General features: G+C 36.5%; 2 long non-coding RNA genes across 6 annotated transcripts in view; one reads left to right on the top strand and one right to left on the bottom strand.

Moving 5' to 3' along the window:
* TMEM161B-DT (TMEM161B divergent transcript) overlaps positions 1 to 11,434 on the top strand; it is a 167,793-nt gene extending 156,359 nt beyond the window's left edge. For all 5 annotated transcript variants that reach the window (NR_039993.1, NR_039995.1, NR_105019.1 and 2 more), the window contains one exon: positions 11,033 to 11,434. This is a non-coding gene — a long non-coding RNA (TMEM161B divergent transcript). The remainder of the gene's footprint in view (positions 1 to 11,032) is intronic.
* The window catches only part of LINC02060 (long intergenic non-protein coding RNA 2060), a 30,109-nt gene extending 16,259 nt beyond the window's left edge, over positions 1 to 13,850 (bottom strand). The window contains exons 1-5 of the long non-coding RNA NR_105021.1: positions 13,745 to 13,850; positions 10,740 to 10,803; positions 4,541 to 4,610; positions 4,119 to 4,248; positions 1,262 to 1,553 (exon numbers count right to left, since the gene is read on the bottom strand). This is a non-coding gene — a long non-coding RNA (long intergenic non-protein coding RNA 2060). The remainder of the gene's footprint in view (positions 1 to 1,261; positions 1,554 to 4,118; positions 4,249 to 4,540; positions 4,611 to 10,739; positions 10,804 to 13,744) is intronic.
* Between the last annotated feature and the right edge of the window lie 8,899 nt (positions 13,851 to 22,749).

Below are 22,749 nucleotides of genomic sequence, written 5' to 3' on the forward strand. Positions count from 1 at the left end.
GAAGCCAAAGTTCATCAGTAAATTTTCTTTTCTCCAGTGCTGTAAGAAATCTAGTTTGTTATAACAGTGATGTCATTTTAATCTGATGCACTGTCTAATTGCTTCAATGACCAGACTTAAATAGTCTTTTCACAATATTTTTTCTCTTAAATTTCTGGTGGGCCAAAGAGATGCCAGTAGAGAAGTGAGCTGAAATTAGGAGATCGGAATGGTGACAGAGACTGGTCACTTTTTCCCCAAACACTCTCATCAAAGAACATGTTGTAAGATGCATGAGCACTGTAATGTAGATGCTATTCTAAAATTTCATAGAATTGGGCACTGAAGCCTAAAGTTATTGAGTCTAAACCTTGGGATTGAGAGCAGCTTTTTAAATTCACATGAAATCATAGATGTTAGGCAGGGGTGCGATGATATGAAACTGGAGGCCATTGTTCTGTTGTAAATGATTATATATGATACTGAGAAGGGCTTTTTATATCAGCAGACATTTTGGCATGGTTTGACATGGTTGTACATTTTAATGTTTTTTCACTTTCCTTATGAGCCCTTTTTTTATTTTTATTTTTTGAACTACCCATCCATATCCACAGCCTATTTTTCTTTTCTTTTTTTTTAAATTTATTATTTTTTTTTTGAGATAGAGTCTTACTCTGTCACCCAGGCTGGAGTGCAGTGGCACAGTCTTGGCTCACTGCAACCTCCATCTCCCGGGTTCAAGTGATTCTCCTGCCTCAGCCTCCCGAGTAGCTGGGACTATAGGCGCGTGCCACCACGCCCGGCTAATTTTTGTATTTTTAGTAGAGACGGGGTTTCACCATGTTGACCAGGCTGGTCTCAAACACCTGACCTCAGGTGATCCACCCGCCTCAGCCTCCCAAAGTGCTGGGATTACAGGCATGAGCCACCATGCCCAGCCTCACTTTCCTTATGATAGTAATTTTACATATAGGTGATCAAGTATCACTGTACCTCAGAATCACTTACTTTAGGTATCTCCATGCATTCATTCAAATAGACTTCTATAGAACAAATTCTTAGGCACCGAGGATAAGAAAGAAAAGAAAGAGAGAGAGAGGGAGGTGGGGAGAAGGGAGGGAGGAAGGAAAGAAAGAAAGAAGAAATGAAGGAAAGAGAGAGGGAAGGAAAGAAAGAAAATAAAGAAAAATATCCCTGCACTTAAGGTGCTTTTATTGTGGGATTGTGAAGAGTATGTTAATGTGCTAAAAGGCAGTCTGAAGACTTTATGAACTATGCTTACTTTTGGAAGGTACTGTAGCAATGAGAGTGGTTAAGGATTAAGATTAAGAGAAATCACTTCAGTGGAAATTGTACCCTATATAGTCATTTGAAACCTATCTCCTTTGGAATGTGCAAACTTTTTTTTTCATCAAATGCAGGATCAGTTAATCATCACATCTTCAGTAGTCTGGAAATGTCAGCATGCCATGAAAGTAGGTGTTCAAGAACATGACTGGAAAAATACTTCAATCCTCAGCCCACTTGGATGAAGCCAAAGAATCCACTGTCTATCTTTTCTATTCCAGCTGTACCTGTCAAAGTAATTTATCAGAATTAGTGCTCTTCTTGATGATGTAATAGTGAGCTGACACATAATTCTACTATATCTGATAAGTAAATTATTAGCTCATGCCAGAACAAAAAGGATGGACATTGCCACTCAAAATTGATTATTTTACATAACACAGGGACCACCCATAGACTACATAGGATTTTCACGGAACTTCAGAAATTCTTGAATCTCATTTTGAGAACCACTTTTCTATTGTACTTTATTCTGGTGTTTTCTTAGATAGTGTATATCTGGGATATATAGACAGAAAGTTTATGCTTCTAGTAAGAGCAGAGATGGAAACTTGAGCTGTGTGGATACAGGAATACTTCAGAAAAGCCTCAGGCTAATATAGTCAGACTTTACTCACTGGATTGCCTGGAAATAATTTTTGGTCAGTGCTATGAACTGAATGTTTTTGTCCGTCTGTGAGGCCATAGCAAGAAGGTGGCAGTCTGCAAGCCAGGAAGAGAGCCCTCAGCAGAAACCAAATGGTCCAACACTTAAATCTCAGACTTCCCAGCCTCCAGAACTGTGAGAAAATAAATTTCTGTTATTAAAGCCACCCACTCTATAGTATTTCGTTATGGCAGCCCAAGCAGACGAATACAATCAGAATAGGGTTTTGGGGGGGAAAGTGTAGAAAGTTGCTTTTTTTTACAATGTGATGTTAGCATTCCAGCTATATGTCCACATCTTATAAGAGATGCTAAATCAGTTTTTGGATTACTTTTCAAGAAGCCTAAAATGAGTCTGGGTTTTCTATGACTTTGGTAGATAAACAGGCAATACAGAAAAAGTTCACCTCATTTTAAATTTTCGTTTTTCCCCTTTTTAACGAGTTTCTACTACCAAATATTTGTCATCACTGCAATAGTCTCCAGTTGGGCACATGCATAAACTACACACAGACACATACACACAGACACACACACACACGCAGACTCCCATGCATATGCTCCCTGACCATGCCATAAATTTTAGGAGTTTGCCTATTTAATTGCCACTGATCTAAATTGATTTCAAAATGAAATGAAACAAATTAAGTAATCTTTGGTTTTATTTCATCCAATCACCAAGCAAGAGCAGTAAGCTTAATTTAAAGAATGGTGGTATGGCCTAGATTTCCTATCTAGCAAGGAGATTTATAGCATAAATGACACCAAAAAAATGAACTAATAGGGTACTATATGTGATTCTATGTTAAAAAGGGGAAATTATTTTACAGGACTCATGAACCATTATTTTAAATCCTTTTGTAAATATGATTTAGTTCATCATCTTTTCTGATTATATTTATGTTCAGCTCCCAAGTACAGCTTCTGCTTCCTTTTTTGAAATGCCACCAACAGCAGTACCATTTTCACTAATACAAACAATGTTTATAGTGCCCAGAAATGGTGTTAGGAATATAGGATTCTTTCATTATTTGTCAACTAGACATTCCTCAAAGAGGTGCCCTATTTAGTTCTGGCTTAGCTTTTTGAACAAAACCATTTAAGTATCATAATTTTTAAGTTCTTCATGAAATTTTCATGTTTCTATAATAGTTGTCATTAGGTAGATAAAAGAATATTATAATCTTTTATTTCTAAAAAATATAATTTGCATACCTAAATGGATTAGGAATTAAATCATAGATTTATAATACAAAACAATTTTGGCTTTTTAGGTCAGTGATGGGTTCACTAAATTCTTAGAAACATAACTATAACTTTGTTTGTACTGAACTCTTATCCTTAGAAGACTAAAATATTTTAACTCCATGAAATATCTAAGCAAGACATTATTGTGTGATGCTTAGGAAGAAGGATTTGGAGAAGACTAACTGAGTTTAAACCCTAACTTTACTAACTAACTACACAACCTTGGGAAAGTCACCAGGGCTTTCTCTTGCATCATTTCCATATTTGTAAAATGGGGATAATAATAAATTTGATCTCACAAGTTTGCTTTGATGATTAAATTAGTAAAGATTTGTTACAGAGAACAGTAAAATAAAAGTGTTCACTCTTGGTAATAAGGTATTGCACAACAGTCAACGAAGGTCTGAGAAGGAAAAAAATAAAAAATATGCACTATCTGGCACAGCCAAATGGAAAGGAGCCTTACAGGTCCTAAATTATGACATACATTGTTACATCCACTGCAGGAACCAGGATATTAACTACAAATATTATTGGGTCTTCCTAATTCAGCATCATTTCTTAGTAATACCTGAAGACAATGTTTATAACACTTAGAGATAATAAAAAGATAACTAAGACTAATTAAGAATAACAGAGTAAACTGCTTTGACTTTCATCTTTATTATCTAGGGTTCTCTGGTCTTCAAAGTTGACACATCATTTGACCCCTTTTCTCTCACATGTTTAGCTATTGACTAGTTTGATCATTCTTTCTGTCCTAATTTAGTCCAAACTTGGATCATCATCTTTCTTCTTTGTCACCTACTCCTTTCTGTTCTTTCTGCTGCTCACCATAATCCCACCTTTCCCAAACTCAAGAAGAGTTTTTTCAAGGAATATATGCTATCCCACCTCACCTGGTTGCTTATATCCAGCTGTCCTGCTTCTAATAGCATAAGAGATGCACCGTGTGTCATTGGAGCAAATGATGGTTACTGTTCTGCTAGTTCTCAATGGTAACAACCCCAGGTGATTCCTCACCAGTACCTGATGGTAAGGAGGAACAGTTTTATGGTAGGTCATGCCAGTTTAAAGGTATTGGTCTGGTCTTCCTGCTTAAAATAATGAATGGCAGAAGAGAGAACCATATATCTTGGGATCTGAACTGGTGACCTAAACATAAGTTTCAGCACCTGTTAAATACCCCAGAGCTATTCTAGCCCTTAAAGCTATTCTTTGCTGCTCATTTGAAAACGAACATTAAGGAGGAGAAAAAGGGCATGCTGAACACCAAGCATGAACTGAAGACCTTTAGAAAATCTCTTTAATATTTACTTGCCCAAGCATGCTCAATGGAAGACTTGTCTTATTGAATTCATACTGTATCAAAATGACTTCTCAGAAGACACCTGTTGAAAAAAAGTATTTGTTCAGAAGAGAGTAATTTAGATAATGGAAGTAAGAAGGGCTAAAGACGGTGATTAGTCCATGCCTTTGTATTAGTCTGTTTTCACACTGCTATAAAGAATTACCTGAGATTGGGCAAATTGTAAAGGAAAGAGGCTTAATTGACTCCCAGTTCAGCATGGTTGGGGAGACCTCAGGAAACTTACAATCATGGCAGAAGGCAAAGAGGAAGTGAGCACATCTTACATCGTGGCAGGAGAGAGCAAAGAAGGAAGTTACACACTTTTAAATCATCAGATCTTGTGAGAACTCACACACTGTCATGAGAACTGCATGGGGAAAACTGCCCCCATGATCCAATCACCTCTCACCAGGTCCCTCCTTCCACATATGGGGATTAAAATTCAAGATAAGATTTGGGTGGGGTACAGAGCCTAAACATATAATTCCACCCCTGGTCCTTCCAAAATCTCATGTCCTTTTCACATTTCAAAATCAATCCTGCCTTCTAACAGTCCCCCAAAGTCTTAACTCATTCCAGCATTAACTTAAAAGTCCAAGTCCAAATCTCATCTGAGACAAGGCAAGTCTCTTCCACCTATGGGCCTGTAAAATAAAAAAAAGAAACAAGTTAGTTACTTCCAATACAATGGGGGTACAGGCAATGTTCCCATTCCAAAAGGAAGAAACTGTTCAAAACAAAGGGGCCACAGGCCCCATGCAAGTGTGAAATCCAGCAAGGCAGCCATTAAATTGTAATGCTCCAAAATAAACTCCTTTGACTCCATGACAAATTCAGGTAATGCTGATGCAGGAGGTGGGCTCCTAAAACCTTGGGTAGCTCTTCCCTTGTGGCTCTGCAGGGTACAGGCCCCACAGCTGCTTTTACAGGCTGATGTTGAGTGCCTGTGGCTTTTCCAGGCACACAGTGCAACATGTTGGTGGATGTACCATTCTTGGGTATGGAGGATGGTGGCCCTCTTCTCACAGCTCTAGTAGGCAGTGCCCTAGTGGGGACTCTGTGTGGGGGCTCCAACCCCACATTTCCCCTTTGCACTGCCCTAGTACAGAGGTGCTCCATGAGGGCTCTGCCCTTGCAGCAGATTTCTGCCTGGGCATCCAGGCATTTTCATACATCCTATGAAATCTAGGCAGAGGATCCCAAAGCTCAACTCTTGTCTTCTGGACACACACAGACCCAACACCATGTGGAAGCCACCAAGGCTTGGGACTTGCACCCTCTGAAGCAATGGCCTGAGCTATATATTGGCCTCTTTTAGCCACAGCAGAAGCTGGAGCAACTGGGATGCAGAGTGCCATGTCTCGAGGCTGCGCAGAGCAGCGGGGCCCTGGGAGCAGCCCACGAAACCATTTTTCCCTCCCAAGCCAAGAAGTTCTCTGAAATGGCCTGGAGACATTTTCTCCATTGTCTTAGCTATTAACATTTGGTTTCTCATTACTTATGCAAATTTCTGCAGCCAGCTTGAATTTCTCCCCAGAAAATGGGATTTTCTTTTCTACCACGTGGTCAGGCTGCAAATTTTCCAAACTTTTATGCTTTGTTTCCCTTTTAAACATAAGTTCCAATTTCAAACCATCTGTTTGTGAGCACATATGACTGTATGATTTCAGAAAAAGCCAGGTCACATCTTCATGCTTTGATGTTTAGAAATTTATTCTGTCAGATACCCTAAATCATCTTTCTCAAATTTAAAGTTCCACAGATCTCTGGACAAAATTCTGCCAGTCTCTTTGTGAAAGCACAACAAGAGTGGCCTTTGCTCCAGTTCCCAATAAGTTCCTCATCTCCATCGGAGACCACCTCAACCTGTACTTCAATGTCCATATCACTATCAGCATTTTGGTCACAACCATTCAACAAGTCTCTAGGAAGTTCCAAACTTTCGCACATCTTCCTGTTTTCTTCTGGGCCCTCTAAGCTGTTCCAACCTCTGTTACCCAGTTCCAAAGTCACTTTCACATTTTCAGGTTATTTTTATGACAATACCTCTCTCCTGCTACCAATTTTCTGTATTAGTCTGTTTTCATACTACTATAAAAAACTACCTGAGACTGGGTAATTTATAAATGAAAGAGATTTAATTGACTCACAGTTCTGCATGGCTGGGGAGGGGGAGGCCTCAAGAAACTTACAATCATGGCAGAAGGTGAAGGGGAAGCAAGGCATATCTTACATGATGGCAGGAGAGAGAGAGCAAAGAAGGAGGTGCCACAGTTTTAAACCATCAGATCTTCTGAGAACTCACTCACTATCATGAGAACAGCATGGAGGAAACCATCCCTATGATCCAATCACCTCCTACCAGGTCCCTCCCTTGGCACATGGGGATTACAATTTGAGATGAGATTTGGGTGGGGACACAGAGCCAAACCATAACACCCTTCATCCATTTCTTTATCCTTTTTTCGTTGAAACTCAAGCAAAATAACACAGGAAGTATAATATTGTGGTGTGGTGGAAAGAACTCTTATCCTGAGGCCAGGGTGTGGGTTCAAGGTTTGTTATCTAGAAAAGTCATTTATTTCTCTGAATTTCAACATCTATTCATATGAAGAGGTAATAATATCTACCTTACAGAAATGTTGTAAAGATTAAATAAGAACTTTGTATGTTGCTTTAAAAATATTTGTTATTTTATTGTTTATTTTATAAACAACAATTAATTTTGATGCTATGGATCTGAATAATTAAGATCCCAAAATGTTGCTTTCTATCAAACTATGTGGACATTTTTGACTTTTCTTCCCCAGAAATTCATAATCTGCGTGTCTTCTGCTCTGCAGTGTGTGAAGTACAAAGAACTCAAACGTTGGAACATAAAAGATCTGAATTCACACACTGGCTAAGGTGTTCTGGATTCACTTAGCAGTTAGTGCTAGTCAAGTCTTGTATCCTTGGTTATCCTTTCCATAATATGGAGCTAGCAACACCTACTTTGCAGAGTTTTAGAAAGGATGATTGGTAAAGTATGAAGGTGCTTAGCATAGTGAACAGTTCATAGTAAACAACCATTATATTGTAAGTTATATTGGGATTCTTTTCTTTTTGGTATGCCTTCATATTATCATCAAAAATATGGGTTTGTCTATGTTTAGAACTACTTTGTAGGTCCTCAAGCATTGTGCTTATTGGGTGAAATGCTGACAAGATTGTACCTTGAAAAACAGGAGTCATTTGGATTGATAAAAATTATTTAAAAATTAAATAGCTCAAAATTCTTTTCTTTTCAGATAGTGTAGTTGGAAATTCTTTAGAAACTCAAGTTCTGTAAGGGACATAGACATTTTAAGTCATGGTTACTGCCTTCAAGAAACTTACACCCTGGTTGGAGGCATTGTTTTCACTAATATCTGTGTCCAACGAAATGATGTCTTTATATAGTGACTGGGCTGTGAGGTAAGAAAAGGAAAAATGCTTTCGGAGATTAGACAGATGTCTTTAAAATCATTCTTCTGTCAATGGAAATGAGCCATGGGGAATCAGGTAGCAGGGAGGCAGAGGGAATGAAAGTCTGCTAACTTTATATTTTGTGTCAAGTGCAGTACTAGGCAATTCACATCCATTGTTTTAGTTAATCCTAAAAATAATACTATGAGATGGATTGTAGAATATTGACTTTATGGCTAAAAAATGTAGTAACCTCAGAGAGGTGAAACAACCTTGTCTAAGATCACATACCCAATAAGTGTTGGAAATGGGATTTCAATCATTAACAGGGGGAGAGTAGAAAGTGGGTTTTATTCAATTTAATTGAAAAATATTTATAAAATTTAAGTATCTCACCTTCTCCAAAAATTCCTTAATTTATCTCCTGGATTTCCTCCTTTTCTTCTCTGTTGAACCCCCAGTGAGTTCAATGCTAGTTTGTGAAACCCTCTAATCAGGGCAAGAGCTATAGCCATTCTTTCAGTGCACATGGCCCAGATGGCTTATCTTATTTTTTAATCTGTGTACTTTTAGCAAGGGGAAAAACTGACAACTATTTCAGATGTGCTAGTGTTTAGTATCAAATAGAAATAAACTAATTCAACATTAATTTATTGTAAAAATGTTGTACAGAATATACCACAATTAAGATACACAATTCAATCATTTATCCTTTCACTTAATGAATATTAGTGATCATTGCTCCCACCCCCTAGTCACAAAACTTTATAAAGCAGTTTTAGATAATCAGTACAGTCAGCTGCAAGTAGTGGAAAACCAAATTAACATGGCCTAGCCGAAAATAAATTTTTTGTGTATCAAGAAGTCTGAGGATGGACAATTCGAGACAGGCAGAAGAAGGGTGAAGAGATCATGAGTCCATCACTTTTTAAAAGTGTTTTTAGGAGTCCCAATTAGCAACTTCAGCTTGCATCTCATTAGTCAGAATCCATCATATGGCCACTCCTGGCTGCAAGGAGAGCTGTGTTGTGGTTTGGAATATAAAAATTGTAAGAAAAAGAAAAATATTATCAGAAAGGCAGAAAGAAGTCTTTCTAGAATATCAAGAAATTTAGTTTTCCAGCCTCTATAAAAGCAACTCAATAGTATGAAAACAAATAACCTGATTAAAAAGTGGGCAAAAGGCCTGAATAGACATTTTTTAGTAGAAGACATACAAATGGCCAACAGGTACTGCACTGCATATGAAAAAAACATTCAACATCACTAATCACACAGGAAACACAAATGAAAAAAACCACCAGATATCACCTCACACCTATCAGGGTGACTATTATCAAAAAAAAACAAGATAACAAGTATTAGTGAGGATGTGGAGACAAGAGAACCATTGCACACTTTTGATGGAATTTAAAATTAGTACAGCAATTACAGAGTCAATAAGGAAGTTCCTCGAAAACCTCAAAATATGATCCAGCAATCTCACTACTGAATATATATCCGAAGAAAAAGGAAACTGATATGTTGACGATACAGCTGGATTCCCATGTTTATTGCAGCACTATTCACAATAGCCAAGATATGGAATCAATCTAAATGTCCATCAACAGTGGAATGAATAAAGAAAATGTGGTATATATACAAACAGTGGAATACTATTCAGCCATTAAAAAAAAGGAAATCCTGTCATTTCTGACAACATGGATTAACTTGGAGGGCATTACGTTAAGTAAAATAAGCCAGGCACAGAAAGACAAGTACTACATGATCTGTTACATGTGGAATCTAAAAAAGATGATTTCATAGAAGTGGAGAGTATAAGGCTGGGCACAGTGGCTCACACCTGTAATCCCAGCACTTTGGGAGGCCGTGGCGGGTGGATCACCTGAGATCAGGAATTTGAGACCAGCCTGGCCAACGTGGTGAAAACCTGTCTCTACTAAAAATACAAAAAAAAAATTAGCTGGGAGTGGTGGCAGGTGCCTGTAATCCCAGTTACTCAGGAGGCTGAGGCAAGAGAATTGCTTGAGCCCAGAAGGCAAAGGTTGCAGTGAGCTGAGATCATGCCATTTGGTACTCCAGCCTGGGCAACAATACTGAAACTCTGTCTCAAAACAAAAAAAAAGAAAAAGAAAATAAAGAAAGAGAGAGAGAGAAGGAAGGAAGGAAGGAAGGAAGGAAGGAAGGAAGGAAGGAAGGAAGGAAGGAAGGAAGGAGGGAGGGAGGGAGGGAGGGAGGGAGAGGGAGGGAGGGAGAGAGAGAAAAAAAGAAAGAAAAGTGGAGAGTATAATGATAGTTACCAGAGGCTAAGTGGTTAGGTGGTTGAGGGTGGGGGGAACTTGTTAGTTAAAGGCTACATATTTATAGTTAGATCGGAGGAATAAATTCAAGAGGTCTATTGTACAGCTTGGTAACTATAGTTAATGATGATAGATTGTATCTTGGAAAATTCTAAGAGAGTAGATGTTAAGTGTTCTCACCACAAAAATGGTAAATACATGAGGTAATAAATTTGTTAATTAGCTAAGTTTAACTATTTCACAATGTATATATACTTCCAAACATCACGATGTACACAGTAAATATATAGCATTTTATATATAAATTTAAAAAATAAATTTGAAAGAAAGAGAGAAAGGCAGGGCAGAAAAAAAGGTGTGAGTGGCTTTTAAGAAACTATTAGTTCATTACAACATTGAGTGAAGGAAGCTACTAGTCTTACCTGAGCTGTGTTTGATGATGCAAAAGGTACCCTGCTTCTATCACTTTTTCAAGTTTCTTGGCCTCTGGAGCAGAGATAATTTTAGTAGTTACAGGGTTCTTATGTCCATTTTATGAGCTACTGAATGTAAAGTGCTTAACACTGTGCCTGGCACATAGTAAACTTTAATATATATGGGCAACTATAACAATAAAATTAATATTCGTTGGTATCATTATTAAGTAGTATAACACTCATTCTTCTCCGTGACTAGAATGAGCCTTTTTACATTATCTGCATATTTTTTGTCCTAGGAATACCCATCTCGAGTTCTGGATATGTGCTCTGAGAAGGTGCCCATGTCACCGACCACACTGGAGGCCAATGCAGATACTGGGGGAAGGTTCCATGGTAGCTAAGTGTGGACAAGCTAATCACTGAAGTTCCCTGATGCAGAGTTGATAATCTCTCTAGAGTTGGATGAAAGACTGTGCTGCCTTGAAGCTCTGAGAGATGCCATGCCAATTCAAGGCAGGGTCTTTATTGTTGAAACTCTTGCGTAATGACATCTTTATTCAGGTGAAAATACAGGATGAATTTCAACTATATGATATTGTTTATGTTCCTCAGACATGTTATTTGTCTTTACAAAGATTGGTTTCAATAAACTGTGTGACTGATATTAAATAAACATGGAATTTTACACATTCATAATATTTGGTTTCTTGTGATTTTGATGAACTATACTTTCAAGCATTGTCAGTTCATCCTCATTTACAAGGAAACATTTGCTGTAGCAGAGTGATGTAGTGACTTGCTTTACTTAAGATAAGTCAACTTTTCTATTCAATGTTTAATGTGAAACTGACTTAAAAATTTTCTTTTAGGCCACATTTACATTTCTGTTTGTATAACATGCATTATACTATTTTAACTTAATACTATGGCTATATAAACCAAAGACATCCTAATTCTGTTTTTAATTTATTGTTTTGCAAGATAAATAATTTTTAATGCACTAATGAAGCTAAGGAGTTCATATTAAAAGACATGTTATATGACCTACTGAAGTTGAGCTATGGAAATTGACTATCTTAAAAGTAATTTTATAAAATTATTTTGTATAAAATTGACTTTCTTGTATGAATTCTTGACAACAAATATAAAACAAAAGGAAGTTGAAACTCCTTCTACATCCTTCTACACACTGAGGAGAGTTAATTGAATTCTTTCTAATGTCATGATTTTTGTGTTTCTTAGAAAAAGAAATCAGATGAATAGTAAACATTTCAATTGCACATATCTGCTTCTGGCTACCTATTTAAAATGAAAATCTTTTTCAAAGTACACCTAGATTTTTCACATCTTTAAAGTGATATCATTTTATTTGTAGATTTATTCATGAAATGTTTTCATTTTGCCATCCAGGAAAAGAAATGTCACGGATTTTTTTTTTTTTTTGAGGTGGGGAAGCCCGAAAATATGCAACCCTGAGCCCATGCTCCTTCATCCTATAGCCTCTTTCCATTCCAGGCACCCTGTAAGCACTCATCTACATCTCAAAGATAAAAGCTATGAAAGGGCAAATAAATATGCCAAGAATTAAAGTTCCTCTAACCTTAAAAGGGGTTATTTAAAACAGGCACTCCTGGTATACCATGACCAACTAAGGTCCATATACTGGCATGTGTTGGATACGCTGCCTTTATAGAAAGGTACCAGGAAGATGTTGAGGAGGGGAAGGTCAACCAGCTAGTTCAGAGCAAGTTTCAAACAACAGGGTAATGGTGTCTTCATACCTAACATCTGATTTTTAGTTTTGAAATTGCAGTGGTGGTGATGGGGAGGAAAATCAGCGAGGGGAGAGGGGAACTGATGAACCTAAAAAGCAGAAGTAAAAAAATAAAGTCTGTAGGCATGGTAGTGACAAAATGCTGATTCTTATGGCTGCACTTCAAAGCATGCTAGGACAGGCTTGCAAGGTCCAGCAGGATTATTTAAAAGGCTTGGAATTTTGAATATATATTTTTTAAAACCCTTTTCCTTCTGTTTTATTTTTTCCCCAACCACTAGACTACCAGAAAAAAAAAAATACTTTCTATGCCATCTTTTAGATTGGGTTACTTTGGTGGATGAGTAACCTCACCCATTCCTAGGATTCTTTTCTTTTGACTAGTTTCATTTTTCAGGCAGTGACCTTTCCCTGACCTCAGCCCCAAACTCCAGGTCACCTTTCTGTAGCCCTGGTGTAGCACTGAATAGAGGGTTTACCAGATTGTTGGCACTGGATAAGTGGTACTGGGCACAATCGTCCTCTTTCATAAGCAGGAGGGAAGTTTCCTTTCCTAGGATTGAGAGAGCTGGCTGACTTATGCCCCCTTTTCATTTTGTTGTCCAGTAATTTCCCCTCTGGCCATATCTGCAAACTAGTTGCCTTGCAGGAAGGTGACATGCACCACTGATGCAAAAAGACAAACAAAAAGACTGTTATTGGCATCAGCACAACTTTCAATGGTACTTCAAAACAGATTCATTTGATAGTGAAACGTTAGTTATTTGCCCCAAATAATTAAAAAGTTTAATTGATTAAAGCTTAATCTCAGCTATTTAAATATTTCTATGCTTTTTTAAATTACACTCTCCTGAATAAAATCATTACTAGCTATGCCAATCTTCAATCTGCCCTCAAATTACCCTAGGAAAGATCTCCTTTTACCTCAACATGAAAACAATTTTTTCCCAAGTTTTCAAATAGTGGGAAAAACATCATCTGATTAGACTTCAGTAGGAGACCTTAAATACCCTCTATCATTTGGCCTTCATGTTGCCACATAGCCATGGCCCTACCAACAGGATGGGCACTTCTGATGTTCTCCAATGTTCTGCTGTTTCTTTTCCAGGAAGTAACCTGTTTCATGGGTCCTAATGCTGAGATCCCAGGGCTGCAGTGTTTTAGTCCATTTGAGCTGCTATAAAAAAATACCTTCAACTGGGCAATTAATAAACAGTAGAAATTTATTTCTCACAGTTCTAGAGGCTGGGAAGTCCAAATCAAAGCACCAGGAGATTTCATGTCTGCTGAGGGCCTGCTTCCTGCTTCATAGATGGTGACTTCTAGGTGGGTCCTCACACGGAGGAAGGGGCAAACAAACTTCTTTTGGCCTCTTTTATGAGAGTGCTAATCTCATTCATGAGGTCTCTGCCCTTATGACCTAATCACCTCTTAAAGGCCCTATCTCTCAATACTATTGCATTGAGGATTAGGTTTCAACATAAGAATTTTGAGGGAACACAAACATTTAGATGACAGCATACAGTGAATGGCAAACTCTAGCATGTCACATTGTAATGCAAGACCAGTGTACCAGCCTGTCTCTTTTGAATAAATCAATGTGGCAATATTGATGATTTCCAAAGCCTCCCTTTTGTATTCTGTATTTGCTACCATTATAAGGATGTCAGCACTAAAGAACAAAAAAAGAAGAAAAAAGAAAAAGAAGGAGGATCTCAATAGCTAATGGGAAGCATTAAGCTAATCCCTTATCTTGCCACCCAACTTTGTCAGATTTTGGAAAAATAGTGCTTCAAATTATTTTTCCAATGAATAGACTCGTGTCTTATGTTTGGGCATTTAATTAGGCCCAAGGGGGAAAAAGGTAGAAGTTTTTAATACTATTTTGCTATGCAAAATACACATGAATATTTCCACTATATTAGGTAGTTCTATATCAAATATACTTGTGATTCTAAGCGGCCTGGCTTTGGTCCGGCAGAATGCAACCATCAGTCAATGTTAGCTCCATGCAGCCGCATTGTTCCCTGTGCGCTCTAAAGCAATCAAACGAGTCTGCAAATGTTCTTCAAAGAATACATCTAGACTGTTACTTCGTTAAACATCTCCTTGGCATTCATTCTATTTTCCGCTTTGAATTGCTGCATTTAGTTTTGTAATGACCTTCTATAGCTAGGAGGTTTTATTAACTCTTTGATCTTCTAGCTTTGGGATGAAAACAAAGAAAACATAAATGAGCACTTTGTGCACTGTCTTATAGAGGAGACCAGAAGAAAAAAGGAAATATGTTTTCATCAAAAAGATTGGTTTGTGTGGAGACTTTCAGCCCTTCCTGTTCTTTTCTCCCTTTGAGTAAAATGCTTATCAATGTTGTACATGTGTTTGTTTTAATGTCTTCTTTATAACAAAGTCTTTGTTTCTCTTCTCTGTAGCTCTGGTAGCTGAGGTTAGGGTCAGATATCTCTTTATGGATTTTCTTTTTAAGAACATTTTCCATCCTTGGTTTCCTCTAATCCAGAGTATAATTCTTGGGTAATCTGTCGTTGTATTTATGAGATACTGGAAGCCCTGCTCTGTTTCCAAGTATTCCTTTGTGTGTGTCTACGTGAGTGGTGAAGGGGAGGGCATCCCCAAGCCGGTAGTCACTTAATACTATGCTGAGAAAAAGATTGAGAACTCTCTGTATCCAAATCTCAGTTCTGCACTTCATTGTAACTGTGTCTGTATATTCTGGAGCATTTGGAGTAGAACCTCACCATTTAGTTATCTTGCTTCCTAAGTCCTGAACTCATACCATTATTAACATATGGATGAAATACTGCCTTTCAAATTGACTGTATTTTTATCTTTTGTCACCCTCTTTTTTCCCTTTTTTTACATACTTAACTGACTTTACCTTTTTTGGTCTTTTATCACAACTTTGGAACAAAACTTTAGGTAAAAGATTATAAAATACTGAAGTCCTACTCCTAGCTTGAAAAAGTAAAATAAATAAATAAATATAAATAAATAAAAGATTATAAAATACCAACATTTATGATACAAATTAAATACAAAGGGTGGAAATAGTTACTCATCAGAGCAAGCCTTTTCTTTTCCCCAATCTCATAATCAGCCATTTATTATATCAAACACTTTCTTTAGCATCTTGAAATTTGAAACTCCTCTTTGTTGTTAAATCTAAAGCAATCTGACCTAAGAGCCCAGAGACTTTTTTGATTTGCTTAATCTAGACTCTAGAACAGCAGGTGAACTAGCTATGTGCTGATAATATTATCTGGTTATTTTGCAGTGCCTTAGGTTAATTGGAAATGGAAAGCCATTATTCATCTCAAAGTGGCTTCATTTCATTTTGGCTAAGTTTTCCTTTTGTTTGACTCATTTAATACTAATTGTGGTAGTGATGTGCTAAAACTATAAAATTATATAATTCCACTAGTCTCATCTCTTTTTCAGAGATGAAGAAATAATGAGTGACAGTTTACTTAGGGGCCTTGACCAAGTAAGGTAAACTTAACATTAGAACCTGCACCTTTTCATTTCCAGTCAGCTTTCATTTGCTTTCCTGGGTCAGACAAAGAATAAGGGAAAATGATCAACTATTGATATGGGAGACTCAGCTCTTCTTGGTGAAACTCAAATGACGTCTTCACCTGAAAGAGCAGTGGCAACTAGCTTAGCAAATCTTTCTCATATCCTCACTTGATGCCTTTCCATTGCTTTCTCCTTCTGGGAACATCCCTTCCTCATCTTAGTAATTCCTTAGATTGTTCTGTAATTACTTGTTTGTCGTGCTTTAAGTTATAATTTCCCTAAGCTGAAAACTTGCTTATTTCTAGAATATGTTCTCAAAATATTTCATAACGATATTAATAACTATAAAATGCTAAAAACTGTGAGACTGCTTCTATTTGAAACTTAAATTATAGATAAATAACTTACTTTTGAAAGTGTCTCAGTCTGGTAGCTGTGATCAGAAAGCAGTTTAAATTTACAAACACCTTAAGAATGTTTCTAAACATTCTATTGAAATGCCTTTTTGTAACAAAATAGGTGATAGAGCAGTCAGTATTTATATACATGCAATACTTTAATCTTGGGTACAAAGCAAGATGACAAGCAAAGACATTAGCAGAGCAGTTATTAAATGAAAATATGATATAGGTAAGAAATGCTGAAATTTGAGATCTTGAAATAGTATTATTTTAAATGGTCCCAGAGAGATTTGAAAATATTGGGAAGAAAAAAATCAAGGTACTTACACATTTCTTTCTATTTTTACCTTTTGGTGGTCCAAATAGTTTGACACAGTATAACATTTATTCAGAGGGTAATCGTATTTTAAACCTATTTGATATTTTACACTTCATTTAAAAATCTCAAAATACCTTATTAAGTAGTAATACTGCAAAGGTTATACACAGGTTTATTAAACAGCTGAAGAGGAAAATATTTTATAGTGGGCAATGACAATCTTGTGCCACTTAACGATGAACAGTTTCTGAGAAATGTGTCGTTAGATAATTTTATCATGCAGATATCATAGAATGTATTTACACAAACCTAGAGGTTATAGCCTACTACACACCTAGGCTATGTGGTATAGGTTGTTGCTTCTAGACTACAAGCCTGTACAGCATGTTACTGTGCTGAATACTGTAGGCAATTGTAACACAATGGTATTTTTGTATCTAAACATATCTAAAAGAGGTACAGTGAAAATATGGTATAAAAGATTTTTTAAATGGGGATTTGTCCATTCGGAGCCCCCCACCCTCTGTACGGGGGAGCCATTTTCTTCTTTCTTCTTTCTTGCCTATTAAACTTTCCACTCCTTAAAAACCAAAAATAATCAAAAATTTAAAAAATTTTTAAAAAATGATACCCCCATATAGGGCACTACCATGAAGGGAGCTTGGTGAATGCAATGTGAAGGTCAAGGATATTACTGTAAACTACCGTATATTTTATAAACAACGTATATTTGGATTACACTAAATTTGTTCTTAAAAATTTCTCTCTTCAATAATAAATTTACCTTAGCTTACTGTAGCTTTACAGATTTTTAATTATTTACAACTTTTTACACTTTTGTAATAACAGCTTAAAACACAAACACATTGTTCAGCTGTACAAAAATGTTTCTCATATCCTAGTCTATAAATTTTCTCTCTCTCTCTCCCTCTCTCTTTCTCTCTCTCTCTCTATATATATACTTTTTAAACGTTTTTGTTAAAAATGAAGACTCAAATGAATATATTAACCTGGACCTACACAGAGTCAGGATCATCAGTATCACTGTCTTCCACCTCCACATTTTGTCCCACTGGAAGTTCTTCAGAAGCAATAACATGTGTGGAGCTGCCATCTCCTATGATAGCAGCACCTTCTTCTGGAATACCTCCTGAAGCACCTGCCTGAGGCTGTTTTAAAGTTAACTCTTTTTTATAAGTAGAACGAGTACACAAAATAGTGATTAAAAGTATACTATAGTAAATACATAAATGAGCAACAGAGTAATTTATCATTATCGAATATTATGCACTATACATAGTTGTATGTGATATACTTCATATGGCTGACAATGTAGTAGGTTTGTTTATGCCAGCATCACTACAAACATGCAAACATTTCATTAGGCATTAGGATGGTTACAATGTCACTAGGTGACAGGAATTTTTCAGCTCCATTATAATATTACACATTGACTGCTGTTGACTGAAATGTTGTTATGTAGTATTATACAATGCATGACTGTATTTATTTAAAATTTTCACCATGTTATTTGGTCAAAGCAGTAAATTTGTTTTTTACTTTGCAAAATGTGGGAGAAAGAGAATTTAAGGATCAAATTCTCTTAGGAAAAGTTCTGATTACCTTGATGCTTATAATTATCTTTATGAATTAATGACAGATATCTCACATGGGTGATGTTAGGACATTCATAAATTCTGTAACGGAAGAAAATGCCACAACTTATAGAGAAAGACCTCAAGTTCATTGTGGTCCAGATTTGAAAAATCACAATCTCCCATGGGTTCAATTATTCCAGACTAGCCTAGGTCACTCCTAGCACAGGTACTGAGCATTCCAGGGAAGGCAATCAGTTAATCAAAAAGACTACTAGAGGGACTGGTTTAACTTTGAGAGTCCTGGAGCCACCTGAGACCACTAATGAGATACTCAAAAGTGTATGCTTCATTAGTTTATCCATTAACTTATTGAGTCTTCAAACATCTAGTTACTCTCATCATTTCCTCTTCCCCATGCCATGAGACATTAGATCTTTAACACACAAAAATAACAAATAAGCGCAGTTAATTGTCCTTGCAACATTTTTGGTCCTTCTATACTCTCTCCACTTCATTTCATCTTCATCTCACCCCATCCCACCTATGCCTGAAAAAAAGTCACCCTATAAGCATTTCTTATATAGTATCACCTATGTGGTGCTATTCAACTCAGAAATATTTCGGATAAATTTGTATACATACTGTGGCATATGTGTTGTTCACCAGATATTCTCCTCCTTGTGCACACAATAGTATTATATTTCCTCCCCTTTTTTGAAATTAGGTATGGCAGTGTGACTAGTTTGGTCAATGGATTTTGGGCAAAATTGGGTACAAATTGTTATAACCTTTCCCTTCTGTGGTGGTAACTGGAAATGCTCCAACTGCTACTCAGTTAGACTGAAGTTAGGATGATGTGAAATGAGAATGATACGAAGCAAAATACCAAGTCAGCCCATGGAGAAGTAGTGTGAGCAAGAAATAATCTTTGTTCTATAAAATCTCTAAGATTTTGGGATTGTTTATATTATAGCACAACCTAACCTATCCTGACTGTTTCAAATATAATATAAATAAATATGGCTTTTTCTCACAGCCGGTCATCCAATACATACGATTAGTACCATTTTAAGCTTTCAGCCAGTGAGCATTCAGGTATCATTCTTGTTTTCTTCAGTGGCACTTTGCTATGTTGTTTGTTTGATTTTATCATTAATTTTCCTCTGGTCAGTAATTTTGAGCAATAATAAGAGACTGAATGTACAACTGGCTGTCCTGGAAGTTTCACCTAAATTTTATATCAGGCTAGATGTTATTAAAGTGTGAGACTTCAAGAAAAGAAGGAGGAAATACAGGCTGAAGGCTAATAAAAAATTAGAGATTGGTGGAAGACATTTGGCATTATGAAGGGCAAGCATCACTGCAATCTGGGAGATATTACCAACAATTATATGAATAGTAGCTGGAAGAAACCGTGGCCAAAGATGAGCCATAATCCAGGTGTTTGAAGATAAGGATGTTAGTTATCTCTTGTTATGTAATAACTTTCTCCAACTTGACAGCTTAAAACAAACAAACTTTTTTTATCATAGTGATTTTATGGTCAGGAATTCAGAAGTGGCTTGGATGGGTGGTTCTGGCTCAGGGTCTTTCAAGTCTGAAAGGATTCCTTGCCACATTGATCTCACCATAGGGTGCTTGAGTGTCCTCACAATAGCTATTTCCTCCCAAAGCAAATGATACAAGAGAAAAGGATAGAAGTTTCAATGATTTTTATGACCTAGCTTCAGAAGTCACACTCTGTCATTTCCACAATACCTTATTTGTTGCACAAGTCAGCCCTATTCAATGTGAAAAGAATCAACATAGGATACCAAGAGACAAGGATCACTGGAGGCCATCTCAGGGGCTGGCTACAACAGTGGAAGAGTCTTAGTCAAGATGAAACTCAGGGATTGCAACTCCAAAGGGATACCGCGATGATGGCTTTGCTGTTTGCTGATTTAGTGTTCTCGTTTTAGAAACACAATCTATCCCATCTCATCTGCATCTATCCAATGAGATAAAATAAATAAACACTGTTCAATAGTATAAAATATGATTGAGACTTTTTATGAGGTACTGTATTAAAAACATTTTCTACTTTAACTTTCTGTACAGTTTCATTATTATTTGCATAAAATTGAAAATAATTTAAATGGTTGAACTTTTTGGCATTTCAATTAAGTTCTTCTTTGTTAAAGATACTATTGTCTATTGTGTAAATATCAAGATATATTAACCAAAAAATTAAATTATATTTTTTCTGAAAGCAAAATCTTTTTTAAAAATTTAAGGAAACAACAATTTACATTGTGTAGCAATTACTATCGGCTGTAACTGTACACTTTTGGAATAATTATTTCCTCAGATATTTGTACCATGATTGATAAACACCCCCTGGATTTCTCATGTGTTTAAAATTTGAAACATTTCTTGCCAGATTCACTATAAACTTGTAAGAATTCTCATTTGAAGAAAAGTTTGTTTTTTATTATTCCACAAGAAAGACAAATACAATGAAATATTTAATTTACAATTTGTTAGTAAAGATATTACTTCTACCCATGTTTGAAATTAAATTAACATTTAAAAATCGTTTTTGGCCAGGCACAGTGGCTCAAACCTGTAATCTCAGCACTTTGGGAAGCTGAGACAGGAGGATCTCTTGAGGCCAGGAGTTTGAGACCAACCAGCCTTGGACAACATAGTGAGACCCCATCTCTACAAAAATTAAAAAAAAATAACCAGGCATGATGGCACTTGCCTGTAGTCCTAGCTACTTGGGAGGCTGAGGCAGGAGGATCACTTGAGGCCAGGAGTTTGCGATTACAGTGAGCTATGGTTGCGTGACTGTACTCCAGCCTGGCAAAAGAGCAAAACTCTGTCTCTAAAAAAAGGTTTAAAGACTAAAGTAAAATTCATTTTTATTTTTCTTTTTTTCAGAAAACATACAGCTTGATGGTAACAAGAACATGATCATCAATGGGACACCTACATTCCTTTCTTTTCATCAACCAAAAATATGCTCTCTAGGCTATCCAAGTTTACTGATGGCGCTCATTTCAAAAGTTATTCTACTTTTGTTTGTTTGTAATCTGTAATATGTTTTTCTCCATAGAAATAATGGTAAAAATAATAGCAAGGTAACCAAATTAGTACTTGGAAAACTTCTTAACCAGGAGAATTCCTCAATCTAGTATTTTCAAGCTATGGAATATAATCCCCTTGTATGGAAAAGCCTAAAGATGAGGCTTACTGCAAGGATGTGCTATAGCTTCTTGTGGTTTGATTGAGGGAAAAAATTGAAGTCTTAAGCTTCTTCCTTTTCTTCCTAGTAACCTAGATATATCTACTTTTCTTCGCTTTACCCTTCCCTTTGGTTCTGCCTAGAATTTATCTCTTTCCTTGGTTCACATAGACACACAGTTTACTTCAATAATAATAGTAGCTAACACTTTTTAAAGTGCTTACTGTATATCAGATGCTGGTCCAAGCATTCCATGTGCATTATTTCATTTCATTACTAGGAGTAAATCATTTTATGTTAGCCCTATTATACAGATGAGAGAGATAAGGAATATAGAAGTTGAATAACCTGGCAAAAATTATGATGCTAGTTGGTAGTAGAATAAGAATTTAAAATATTTAAATTTGGGTAGTTTGACTCTGGAGCCTAGTTTTTGTTAACCATGAGAAAATAGACAAATAGATGTTTGATAGTTGGTAGATAGATAGATTACACACACACACACACACACACACACACACACACACACAATTTTACCCCTACTAACATGAAAATGGAAATAAAACTACACCTATCTTATTTTAAAAATTTAGCCACAGTGGGAAAAGCAAAGCCTCATATATCAGCAAAAGCATGTGCATTTCATCTCCATTTCATGGAAAAAATCTAGAAATATTTTAAAAAAAAAATACTTTCTAGAATTGAGGCAGTAGCTCTGAATAGACAAGGAAAGAAGTAAATGCACTCTCACAGTGGATTCTGGCCTGAGTGGGGAAATCACAGCAATTTCTTGAAGAGATCTGAAGGGAGCAACCCTTCTTTCTCTCCATACCAGATGGTCCCACAGACCTTACCCTGGACCAGACTTCAACCAACACTGGAGAAGATGAAAAGGAGGCCTTGGGGTACTGAGTTCGCCAGCTGGGAAAGGAGCCCAGCATAGGGATACACTTAGGCTCACATGGTGCAGAGCAAAGAAGGTAGGAGGAGAGAAAAACACAAAGCAGCACATATTTACTTCTGCTGTTTCAAAAACTGATTAAACAAATATATAAAGTGAAATTTGTAAGCATACTGTTTTACACAAAAGTTAACACTGAAAAATCTTAAGTCATTTAATGCTAATGCTACTTCATTTCTTTAATCCATTGCTGATAG

This window comes from Homo sapiens, chromosome 5 (genome assembly GCF_000001405.40).
Source record: "Homo sapiens chromosome 5, GRCh38.p14 Primary Assembly".
Classification (NCBI taxonomy): Eukaryota; Metazoa; Chordata; class Mammalia; order Primates; family Hominidae; genus Homo; species Homo sapiens.